The 12484-nt window shown below is 39.2% G+C and overlaps 1 long non-coding RNA gene across 1 annotated transcript in view, besides 1 other annotated feature; it reads left to right on the plus strand.

The window, feature by feature from the left end:
• Positions 1–10860, plus strand: part of LINC02005 (long intergenic non-protein coding RNA 2005) — a 70378-nt gene extending 59518 nt beyond the window's left edge. Inside the window, exons 3-4 of the long non-coding RNA NR_146637.1 lie at positions 1015–1200; positions 10045–10860. This is a non-coding gene — a long non-coding RNA (long intergenic non-protein coding RNA 2005). The remainder of the gene's footprint in view (positions 1–1014; positions 1201–10044) is intronic.
• Positions 5885–6386: an enhancer, noted in NCBI's record as "NANOG hESC enhancer chr3:73923797-73924298 (GRCh37/hg19 assembly coordinates)". NCBI's record gives its function as "activates a minimal SCP1, AML or CMV promoter by ChIP-STARR-seq in primed H9 embryonic stem cells {active_cell/tissue: H9 hESC(primed)}" and the evidence as "EXISTENCE:reporter gene assay evidence [ECO:0000049][PMID:30033119]".
• Positions 10861–12484: the final 1624 nt, after the last annotated feature.

A 12484-nucleotide genomic window follows, 5' to 3' on the forward strand; every position in this document is an offset into this window, starting at 1 on the left:
TAAAGCCTTTGTGGTTTTATTCCCAACTATTGGGCTCTTAAAAAGTTTGGGCTCATATGTTCAAAAGGCCTGAGAATTGAAACAGAAGACACTTTGAATTTTACTGGATTGAACACTCCATGAAGTTTTGCCACTGGAGGGCACCAGTCAACAACATTAGATGCCAACCATTATTCCTGTCTAAAGTTTTTTCCTAGGAACTTGACTATGGAGTCTAAATAGAGTCCTGTTTCACAGATTAAAGTGGAGCCACTTTATCCTTTCATAATTCAGGATTTCAAAGACCAATTTCTTAGAATAATTGGAAATCACAACATTTCATACTCATTTCTGGAATCAATATTTTTAGCCCAGTTCACATTAACCTAGTAGGTTCCCTCTCAAAAGAAATGACAGGGGAATATTTACCTATAATCGTTTGGCAATTACCGTTTATCATAAGAGGAGATCTGCATGGTCTGACCACAGGAAATGTTGAGTTTAGTAGCGTTTAAGGAATGGTCAAATTCAATACAAATATTTAATTTCATTTAACAAATGTTATTTTCAGCTTGTTTGGGAAATACTTTAATTTGAGACACTTTGAACTAGATATTTTAATGGACATTCCCCTCCACTTCAACTTTTTTTTTTTTTCTTTTTGAGATGGAATCTGGCTCTGTTGCCCAGGCTGGAGTGCAGTGGTGCAATCTTGGCTCGCTGCAACTTCCACCTCCCAGGTTCACACGATTCTCCTGCCTCAGCCTCCAAAGTTGCTGGGACAACAGGCGTGTGTCACCATGCCTGGCTAATTTTTTGTATTTTTAGCAGAGACCGGGTTTCACCGTGTTAGCCAGGGTGGTGGTCTCTATCCCTTGACCTCGTGATCCGCCGGCCTCGGCCTCCCAAAGTGCTGGGATTACAGGTGTGAGCCGCTGCGCCCGGCCTCCCCCCTCAATTTAACATCTAGCCATATCATTCTTGTGTATGAATATTATTATGGGAATAATCAAATCATCCTCTCTGTCTCTATAGGATACCCCATGGTTCTCCTACCACCAGATGCTACTGAGGCTAAACTGACTGGACTGAGGAAAAATATCTGTGGGGAAAACTTTCTTTCAGAATCCAACTTTGAACCAGAGAAATCCATTCTCTTGAAGCTGTCTGCTGTGGAGAAGTTGGCCTTACCAATCTGCCTTTGAAGTTCAAGTTATACAGGTTTGCATTTTTTCCTTATTTTACTCTACACTCTCCACTCTATTTTTCAGATGACTACCTGCTTGTCTTCATGTATTATAATTATTGTTGTTCTGCTTATTATTTCTGCTTACCAGTTTTCTTGGCTCTTTCTAGTTTTTGCTACTCACCTCAGTCTGAACCCATATAAATCTTGGACAGACTAAAATTGCACAGTGGGATCATTTCATTCACATGAGTTTGCCAATATGTGGGTATTAACAGGCAAAGGTGGCTGAGGATGGCGATTTGGGTATTAACTGGTAGCGGTGTCCCTGTGTGTGCTATTTTCAAAGTTTTTGCTGATACTGTAGCATTGGCTCTTATATAACTCAATATCCTCCTACGTGAGAAATTTCTTTTGGTCTACATGTAGGAACTTTGTCTTTAAAAAATCTATTATCTCTCTGAAAACACATGGACGTATAGAGGGGAACAGCACACACTGGGTCCTATCAGAGGGTGGAAGGTGGGAGGAGGGAAAGCATCAGGAAAAATAACTAATGGGTACTAGGCTTAATGCCTGGGTGGGTGATAAAATAACCTGTACAACAAACTGCTGTGACACAAGCTTACCTATATAACAAGCCTGTACATGTATCCTGGACTTAAAAGTTAAAAAAAACTATCATCTCTCAGCTACCTCACAGGGATGTTTTGACATTATATGAATTATGTTAATTAGTGCCAGGACAGTGCCAGGTGCAGACAGTCTCAATAAATATGAGTTTCTTCTCTACTTCTTATTTCTATTTCCTTTTTTTCTTGGTGCCTAGAGACAGATTTTATATCAGAGCAACTGTATTGACCAGAATGACAATTCATTTGCTTTACTCCTCTTTTCTCAAGCTTGCTATTTTACCATATTGTTCTTCTCTTGAAAAAACATTTTTTTAAAGTCGTCTAAATGATTAGGGGCAGAAATAAGTATCTGAAGAAGAAATGTGGTAGCCCCTCCTGGGATGTGGAATCCTGAACAACCCCCAACATGAGAGATCCTTCATGAGAGATTGGGTCAACATGGTATTCTTTCAGGGGAAATCTGTGCCCATATAAATGAATCGTAGCACAGACCTGAGTTCAGATCCTTGCCTTGGCATTTACAACTTGGGTAAACTTGAGTAGAGGGAGAATGAAGAGTTTTGGAACTCCTTTCTCTCAGCTGTACAATGGAGACTAATAACGCTTACCCAATGATATTCCTATGAAGACTCAATAAAATAATAAAAATGTGCTTGATATCATTGTTTTTGTTGTTGTTGTTGTTACTCAACTAGATGGTTACCAAAGGATTGTCTGACTCTGGAGATTTTATAAATGGGATTGCCTAAAATGATAGGTCTGCCCATGATAACCCTTAAACAGCCCCTCTGCTTCACCCAGCTGCTCATCTTCCTGGCCATGCACACATCTTATGCCCCTCTGCACTGGTACTGCAGCTCATAGGATTCCTCCTCATTGGAATCTACAGAGATGATTGACCTCATCTCTCTAAGTCTTTCCCATTGTCTTGAGTCCAACTGACATCATAATTCTACAAAGCATCCTTGTCCCAGAGCAAGAGAACCTGATCTCTATTTCCTATGAATGTTTATCATTCTATTTCCTTCTTGCCGGGTGCAGCTTCCCTGGTTCACTACAAGCCAGGTTCGTTATTTGACTGGCTGTGCTACATGGCATCAGTGAAACACTTACCACAAGACAACTCCTTGACGGTAGAGCCTCTGGCTTTTTCATCTCGATATACCACATACCTAATTCAATGCCTAGCAGAGAAGTCACTCAAAAAACACTGTAAGAATAAGGAAACCACTTATTTGATATTGTTATATATATATATATGTATGTATTTTATGTGCCCATAAGATACTTTGAAGTTCTTTGAAGTCAAGTACTTACACAGAACATTAATGTTAAAAACGAAATTTGGGAAGAATAAAAGCCAGACATTATGTCCTTTTTGGTGGAAGAATACACTACCTATGATGTAGCTTGTCAAAAGGATTGATCCTGAATCTCATCAAGCTTTAGATCCAGCCACAATTTATAGAAAATACAAAGAATAGAGAAACACGTTGATATGGTTGATATTGGCTCTGTGTCCCCACCCAAATCTCATCTTGAATTGTAATCCCCAAGTGTTGAGGGAAGGATCTGGTGGGAGGTGATTAGATCATGGCGGCAGTTTTTCCCATGCTGTTTTTATGACAGTGAGGGAGTTCTTACAAGATCTGATGGTTTAAAAGTGGCAGTTTGCCCTGCACTCTCTCTCCTGCTGCCATGTAAGATGTGCCTTGCTTCCCCTTCACCTTCTGCCATGATTAGAACTTTCCTGAGGCCTCTCCAGCCATGTGAAGCTATGAGTCAATTCAACCTCTTTTGTTTATAAGTTACCCAGTTTCAGGTAGTATCTTTATAGCAGTGTGAAAATGGACTAATACACATATTAATGACAACAAGAGGTTGCAATCCTCAAAATTCAGACTGTGGAACATTCCACTATAGTGGTTAAACTGTCCCTTGACTGTTTTTGTACACCCTCAAGCTAAAAATGGTTAAAAGATGGTTTTAAATTTTATTGCTCTATTTTATGTATGTATGTATGTATGTATTTAAATTTTTAAAAGTTTGAAAAAATAAACAATAGATGACACAGATGCTTGCTCTATAGGATTAACATTCCAACTTTTTTTTTTTTTTTTTGAGACAGAGTCTTGCTCTGTGGTTCAGCCTGGAGTGCAGTGGTGTGATCTTGGCTCACTGCAGCCTCTGTCTCTTGGGTTCGAGCGATTATCCTGCAGCAGCTTCCAAGTAGCTGGGACTACAGGCACACACTACCACACCTGGCTAATTTTTGTATTTTTAGTAGAGATAGGGTTTTACCATGTTGGCCAGGCTGGTCTTGAACTCCTGACATCAAGTCATCTGCCTGCCTCAGCCTCCCAAAGTGCTGGGATTACAGGCGTGAGCCACCGTACCCGTCCAACAACCCAACTTTTATGACAAATAAATTGCAAATGAAAGGAGAGATTAAAAGAGACTGAAGTCATAGATCAACTGGTTGCAATGAATTGATTTTACTTAGATTCTGATGCAAACTAAAGAACCATAAAATAGAAAAAGAAACATTCATAACATTTATGATACAATTGATGATATTTAATAATATTGATATAATCAATGATATTTTATGTCTGATAATGGCTTGAAATTTATGTTTATTAAAAATAGTCCTTATCTTTTAGATAAACGTACTGAAATATTTATGGATGATGCTGTGTGGGATTTGCTTTCCAGTAATAAGGGAAAGAAAGCAGATTTGGTTTTGGATTAAAGCAAGATTGTCCATGAGTTGCTAATTTTTGTAACTGGTGACTTATTTATGAAGTTTATTATATTCTTCTGTCTATTATTTCTTCTATGTTTGAAATTCTATGTAATAAAAAGTTCAAGAAAAAAATGAACAAATTTCAGAGTTCTATCTGGGCTGATTCCAGCCAAAATACCTCTGTCATGGCACTGGATTTTTCTGATCTCAGTTTCCTTATCTGTAAAATGGATATTATAATAGTGCCTACTTCATATGGTTATTGTGAAAACTATCTGAGCTAATGTATATGCAGCTCTTAATGCTTAGTACATAATGAAGCATTCAATTATTCTTAAATAGTGTTGCTGCTGCTGCTGTTAGTACTTTAACTCTCAGAAGGTGTTGCTATTTATGAATATTAGTTGCTGAGATGGTAAAGGAGGATAAGACAATAGAATTTTTATTGGGAAAACAGCTAGTATAATTATTGCAATCTACAGGTAACTGGAGACTCTGTAGTTCCCATCTTCCCCAACTGCAGTGTCCCTAAGGGGAGTGGGAGAGGATGGGAACCACACAGCCTCCAGTTACTTGTAGATTGCAATGACTATTCTGGACCAAGTTGTCAAACCTTATAATAGCCTAGTGTGGGGCAAGCTGTCTAGCTGGGCACTGAGCTTTTCCAATCAGGAATGTCACCTAGTAACCTGAAGGTCAGGGAGAGAGCAATACAATCAAACACTCAAACCAAACCTAAGAGCCATTTATTAAACTCAGCTTTATAATAATTTTTGATTATTGATGAGAAGTGTATTGCCAGAATAAAGACTATCTAATACAGGCTTAAGGGGGAAAATAACTTGAAAAGTAATTTATCAAATCCTTATTGAATATTACCATTTCAGGGAGGCAATATACCACAATAATTTATAGCAGCACTATCCATAGTGCTGGTCTTTGATGAGATAAACAGCTCGCTCCAAAATGAAAATCCACACATTGCTTCCTTACTAAAAAAGTCTTGCTATTGAAAAAAAAAATGTCATTTGAAGTAAACAGTATGCTTAGTGACATAGTTGATTTGCATGCTGGCACAAGCTCCTTATGTTCATAGTCTGTTAACTAGAGCATAGTCTACGTTTTTGAGTGAAAGTAGTTTAGAGCAGTGGTTCTCAACCAGAGGCCGTTTTGCCCCCCAGAGGTCATCTGGCAGTGTCCGGAGACATTTCTTATTGTCACAACTGAGTGGGAGGTGCTGTGGCATCCAGTGGATAGAAGCCAAGGATGACCTACATTGTAGTGTCCTTCACAACAACGGAATATTCCACCCAAATGACAATACTGATGAGGTCGAGAAACCCTCTTTTAAAGCATATCTTTAGAGTCAGAGATGGGAATCGAACTCCAGCTCTGCCATCTACAAACAGTGTGACCTTGAGCAAGACGGTTTTATCTCTCTGTAAACACCAGCTTACAGGATTGTTGTGCAGATGAAGTGAGCAAACACAGACAGACCATTTAACATAGACGAAGATCAGGTTCTCAGTGTTTTGGGCAGCTGTGTATACTTCTTAGACATAGCCCTTGTCCTGGTTACTCATGAATTGTCATTCAAGGACTCACTATGTTAATGGCCAAGATACAGCATTTTTGTTTGCTTTCTTTCCTCTCTCTTTCATTCTTTGATAACAATTGGCAATGGGTTCTCTGAAATCTTTTATTTTGAGGACCTAAAATGCAAATGTATTTCACTTGTTGCTGAAGATGAATGCCAAACAAAACCAAGCCAAACCTTGACTTTGATTTTTTGAAAGGTAAACCTTATTGTCAGAAAGAGCTGTGCCATAAACAAAGCTGGGGAATTCACTTGAAACTCCTCTTTTTATCCCTTAGGATGAAGTATGACACATGCCTAAGAGCTTAATGGTTTACAATTTGGGACTCCTACTGTGTCCTTCTTTTTGCTGATGATTTTATGATTCTTTTACACACAACATGATAGATCCTTGAGTATCCTGAGCTTTCAATCTTTATGCTTATTTTTTTGCAGTTTGAGTGAAACCTTTCAGACAGAGCTGTGAAGATGTGGTTCTTAAATAAAATATTTTTCTACTGTGCTAATAACTCATACATTCTCTACGTTTCTCTTCTATACTCAGGGTCAGTGGGATATGCCCATTTTTCTTAATTCTATCTTGCCTGTTTTTTTCAGGCTTCCAACAGCTTTTTATGAAGGCACAGCATGGCTTGTTCCAGGTGCTGGCATTTGGGGAGGGCTGAGGATTGCAGAGGGGGAGGGGATACTTTCTCATCCTTTTTCCATCATTCTATTGACAATAGCCTTTTAATGATTTGAAAACTCTTTGTAAATGCCCTAACAACATGTAATATTGCATTACAAACCCACATAGGAGACACAATTCAGACAATAAAAGCAGTAACACACTTTTGTCCTGCTGCTAAGTTTTAATGGAATGTATTTTATTGAGATCTAATGTAGTTTTTCACCAGAGAAGCCATCTACTTGCTGAATTGCCACATCTCTGGAGTTGACATTCTTCCTGAAAAACATGGGATGTTTGCATTTCTGGGTCAGGTGGGAAGACTGTAGTGTCAGAATAGAAAATGTTGCAGATTTCAAGTATGAACATGTGACCTCATTTGTGTATACATGCCACCATGGTCTTCCTGGGCCCAACTGGGCAGTCAGTAGACAGCGGTGCCTATTCAAAGCTGTTGTTTTTCTTAAGACTTTTGGTCAATATAATACAGCCCAGTTAATATTGTAGAAGCCAAGGGAACATTTCCCCTTTGCCCTCTGAAAATTCACTGAAAATCACTGACAAAAGGTAGACTAATAGGAGAAAAGGCATACAAATTTATTCAATCAAACTTTTACATGGCATAGGAGCCTTCAGAATGAAGACCAAAACGTGCAGGGGAAGCTGTCCATTTTTATGCTTAGAATCAACAAAGTTGCAGCAGCTGTGTAGAAATATGATTGGATAAAAAAAAAATGATTTAGTGCTAACGGGTTGAGTGGAGATCCCAGCATGGTCTGTCTGTCTAGATTCTTCTTGGCCTCTCTATGCAACATGTCATCCTTCTGGGTGTGGGGTGGAAGGTCTTATGACCTATAATTAAACAAGATAGGCCAGATAATTTCTTTATGGCCAGTTTTTGCACAGAAAGGAAAGCACAAAAGTTAAAGTAATATTTTAGATTTTACGGCTGGCTTTGGGAAAAAGGGGTTCTGGAGTCTATGACCACCTTGCAGAAGAGGGATTCTAGTTTCTATGGCTAGCCTTGAGGGAGAATCCGACTGAGAGACAGGAAGGCAGGGGAAGGTTGGAAAGAATCTTTTGCTTCTGAGGCCTTCATTTTGGGGTATCATCTTCTGACCTCTAACAATATAATCCTTTAATTAAAGTGCAAAACTTGTATGTGAGTGAGTAACTAAACAGAACAAAACTGATATTTTTAAATAATTTACTTCGGAGAATGGAAGCATATACGATTCTCCAAACATAATCTAAAGCCTATTTTTCTTAGCATATGTATTATGTCTTAAAAATCTGACATCAAACCCACAGGAAATTTGAAAAATTGTGTGTCCTTCCTTCTGTATTCTTATATCTTGTGATTAAGTGATTTAGTTTAGTTCTTATGACCTAAGTTTATGAGCGTGTCTTTTGTTAGATAACCCTGCTCTTTTTCTTCCTGAGTTTCTTCCTGATCATCTCAAGCAGGAAATACTTCTCTCTAAACCTTATTCCTTTCTTATTTCATTGGTGAGTCTGGATGAAGGTCATTGCTCATGCCTTGCCTAGAGCCTGGTTCTCTCTTAAGCCTGCAGCAAGTGTTGCATGCTCTCCCTGTAACTCTGGCCATTAAGTCATAATCTCACCAGGACCAGGCCCTCCTGGTCCAATCTGCCAGGGAGGCCTGCACACCTCTAGCTGCTGTATCTGCGACTGGTTGGACACAATCAGTTCCAGAGGCCTGTTGTAGGAAGCCCCATTTTGGCCTTCAATCCAAATTACCTTTTCCAATTCAGTTTCACCACTAATAAAGATGATCACTCAAAGTTTCTGGGCCAATTTCAAAACTGAGTCAGAATTTGGAAGAGGTAATGATGAGTGGTTAGGTTTTCTACAAATTGTGACATTAAAAAAATTTAGTACAGTTTATTTCTTGTGTTACATATTGCCAAGTCTTGTCATACAGCTAAATATCAATACTCCATTTATCATCATTCATTACAATTATCTATGAGGACATCCTAAGGCCAAAGAAATCTATTAAATTGCCCAGGATAAGATATGTAAGTCATGGATCAAGCCTTTGAACAGCTTCAATCTATTAAGACGTTTAAAATATATAAGTTGATAAAAAATAATACAAGATTTAAAAATAGTAAGTCAAAGAAAATATACATATAATGCCATAGGGATATCACAAAGGGATTATAACTCCCTGCTGGGAAGGGCAAGAAGTCTTCTAGAGAGAGAGGACTTAGGATGGACCTTGAACGATTGGTAAGATTTAGTCATGCAGATAAAGGAATGATTTTTTTTTTAAGGCCTTCCACGTAGAGGGAAAAGTGAGTGTGCATGTGGGAAGGAAGGAAATATGGAGTTACTAGGATAATATTCATCTAGTGTAACTTGAGGAGCTGTGGCAGAATGGGTGGACATGAAGTGGGGAGCAGGAGACATAAGCCAAAAGGAAACTCTGGAGTAGCAGTGGAATAGTTATAAAAGCTAAAGAGCAGAGATGAGCTTCCTGCAGTGTTTGGTTTTCTAGCAAGTTCCAGTTCTCATGTCAGTGTTATTTCTCATTAAAGACAAAGCCCCAAGGATCTTATTAACTAATTCAACTTTGAAAACTGTGTAGCCCACTTTATTAATAAGAATAGATCAAGGGTGAGAAGAATATTTAAGTGGCTCTCTGAGGCCATAGGATTTCTCCCTGACACTGGTTATCAACCCTAACAGTCAGGATTGGCTGGGTTATGCTGCAGTAATAAACACCCCCAAAATTGCAGTGGCGTAGAAAAACAAAGAATTATTTTTTACTCACACTAAATGTTCCATTGAAGGTGAAGAGAGAGTTTCTGCCTGGCAGGGGAAGTTTGGAGAACTGAGTGTTAGCATTTAAATGTTTCTATTTGGAATTAATAAAGGTCACCTTAGCTAGCATTTCATGGACCAAAGCAAATTACTTGGGCATGACTAAATTCAAGAGGGCAAGGAGATACAAATCTTTTCACGTCTGCTACAGTCTCCTCAGCTGGTTACCATAAGTATACATCCTCATTTTAGTACTACAATTCAAACCCCTCTAAAATGTCTCCAAGAATAATTTCATTTCTTGACTGTTTAATTTAGGCCAGGCACTGGGCTGACCTTTTTAATATAAAATTTCTCTTTGAATTCCTATAAAAATTCTCTGATATTGGTTTTAGCAATTGGTTTTAGCTGGTCAACTCCTGACATTTGTGTTCTTCTTCACAGGATCTGCGAGGCTACCTGTGAATGAATGGTTGGTTGGTCACTACTTGCAAGTTTTTCAGGAGCTCCTGAAAGATTACTGCATAAATAAGGGAAGATGGAGACCAGACCTCTGGCTACTGTTGCTGCCACCACTACAGATACCACCTTCACCCTTATGAACCCCCTATTTACTGAACATTCTCTATATGCCAGGTAACATGCCCTGCACTTGTGAAATAAGGACTGTTATTTCCCCTATTTTATAAAAGAGGAGCTGAGGCTCAGAGAGATTATGTTACTTGCCCAAGATCAGATAGCTAGTAAGTGGCAGAGATGAGATTCTGTCTGAGTCCAGCTTACACCATAACTGATATTCTTGACAATCGGGCTGGATAGAAAAGGATAAGATATGAGAATTTTGGTGCTATGATTTGAATTTTCCTTCCAAAGCTCATGTTGAAACTTAATCCCCAAAGTAACAGTACTGATAGGTGGGGTCTTTAACATGGAGTCCCAGAATTGGATCGTGAGGGCTCTGCCCTGATAAATGAATTATTCCACTCATGATTAATGGATTAATAGATCATCATGGGAGTGGAACAGTGGCTTTATAAGAAGAGGAAGAGAGACCTGAGGTAGAACACTCAGCGCCCTTGCCATGTGATGCTCTGTACTGCCTTGGGACTCTGCAGAGTCTCTCTACCAGCAAGAAGGTCCTCACCAGATGCAGTCCCTTGACCTTGGCCTTCTTAGCTTCTACAACTGTCATAAATAATTTTTTCTTTATAAATTACCCAGTTTTGGGAGTTCTATTATAAGCAATAAAAACCAGTCAAATACATTGAGTTATAATTATGATGTTTAAGATGGAGGAAAATGAACATGGAAAACACTAGAGAAATGAATGCTAAACTAGAGCATAAGCATTGGGATTGTGAAAAAAAGATATTTGAAATATTTTAAAGATATGGAATTTAAAAGATTATGAAACAGATAAAGTATAAGAGAAAGAGAGAAAATGAAAAATGATCCCAAGATTGCAAACCCTTAGTATTGGTGAAACACTCATAGCTGGGGGAAAAAGTCAAAAGGAAGAGCTGGCTTGTGGGTACAGATGGAGAAATCCGGATTTATTGAACCTTTCTTTGCCAGCGGGGTATTTGTGTAAAAAGAGCTATTCATTTATTCTCATTCATTTAGCATGTAAAGAACACAGCTAGGCATTGGAAACACATAACAAAACCTATTTCTGTACACATTTAGAAATGTGGATCTGAAAGATCAAGATTTTGGGTTTCATTCATTTATTTATTCAAACATGTGTTGAGGTCTTTCCAAAGTATGTGATAAATTAAGCAGAAAGGACAGAGAAATTCATGAAAATAGGTATGATCATCAAGGAAAACAATAAAAAATGTAAGGTAAAAGGCCAAACTTAAGGGAATGCCTTTATTAAGGGATATGGGAGGGAGAAAAAATAATTTGAAAAGAAGTTGTCAAGGTGGGAAGAGAGCAGGACAAAACAGTCTCAGAATTGGGTGTATGAGAGAGATTTTAGGAAGAAGAGAGGGTTCAGTAGTGCCCAAGACCAGAGCTCTCAAGGATGGTAAAGAACATTTTTGGGGCTGTTTTGATGTTTTAAAGGTTGAGGTAGATGGCACTTTTTTTTTTTTTTTTTGAAATGGAGTCTTGCTCTGTCACCCAGGCTGGAGTGCAGTGGTGCAATCTCTGCTTGCTGCAAACTCCTCCTCCTGGGTTCAAGTGATTCTCCTGCCTCAGCCTCTGGAGTAGCTGGGACTACAGGCATGCACCACCACGCCTGGCTAATTTTTGTATTTTTAGTAGAGATGGGGTTTCACCATATTGGCCAGGCTAGTCTTGAACTCCTGACCTCATGATCTGCCCACCTCAGCCTCCCAAAGTGCTGGGATTAAGGCGTAAGCCACCGCACCCGGTATACGTTTATTCTTTTAAGAAGCATGGTAAAAGGGAGAGAGAAGAAGGGCAGTCCTGTAGAGGTCAGAGGGACATAGGGAGGTCTTTTTTCAGGGTAAGCAAGCTTACAAATGGGCCAGTGAGAGAGAGGCATTCTAGATGAAGCAGGATTGTGGGAGGTGGGTATTTTGCTGGAATAAGATGCTGGGGTAGGTGGAGGGAAATGGGGGCAGGGATGTGGGAGGGAGGGATTTTGTATTTATACAAAAACAAAATATGCTTATGGGTGGCTTTACCAGCAGGCTCCTCAGCTAAAGGGAAGCAGCAGTAGAAACAGGAAGGATTCAGGGCTGGGGATGGGAATCATGACAGTGGCTGGAGGAAAGAGTGGTGAAGACTCCAGGGCTAGCATACTACTTTCCTAGTGGCTGCCTTAACAAAGTGCCGCAAATGGGGTGGCTTCAACAGAAATTCATTCTTTCACATTTTGGGGGCCAGAAGTCTGAAATCAGTTTGTCAAAAGGCC

Source organism: Homo sapiens, chromosome 3, assembly GCF_000001405.40.
Source record: "Homo sapiens chromosome 3, GRCh38.p14 Primary Assembly".
Taxonomy (NCBI): Eukaryota; Metazoa; Chordata; class Mammalia; order Primates; family Hominidae; genus Homo; species Homo sapiens.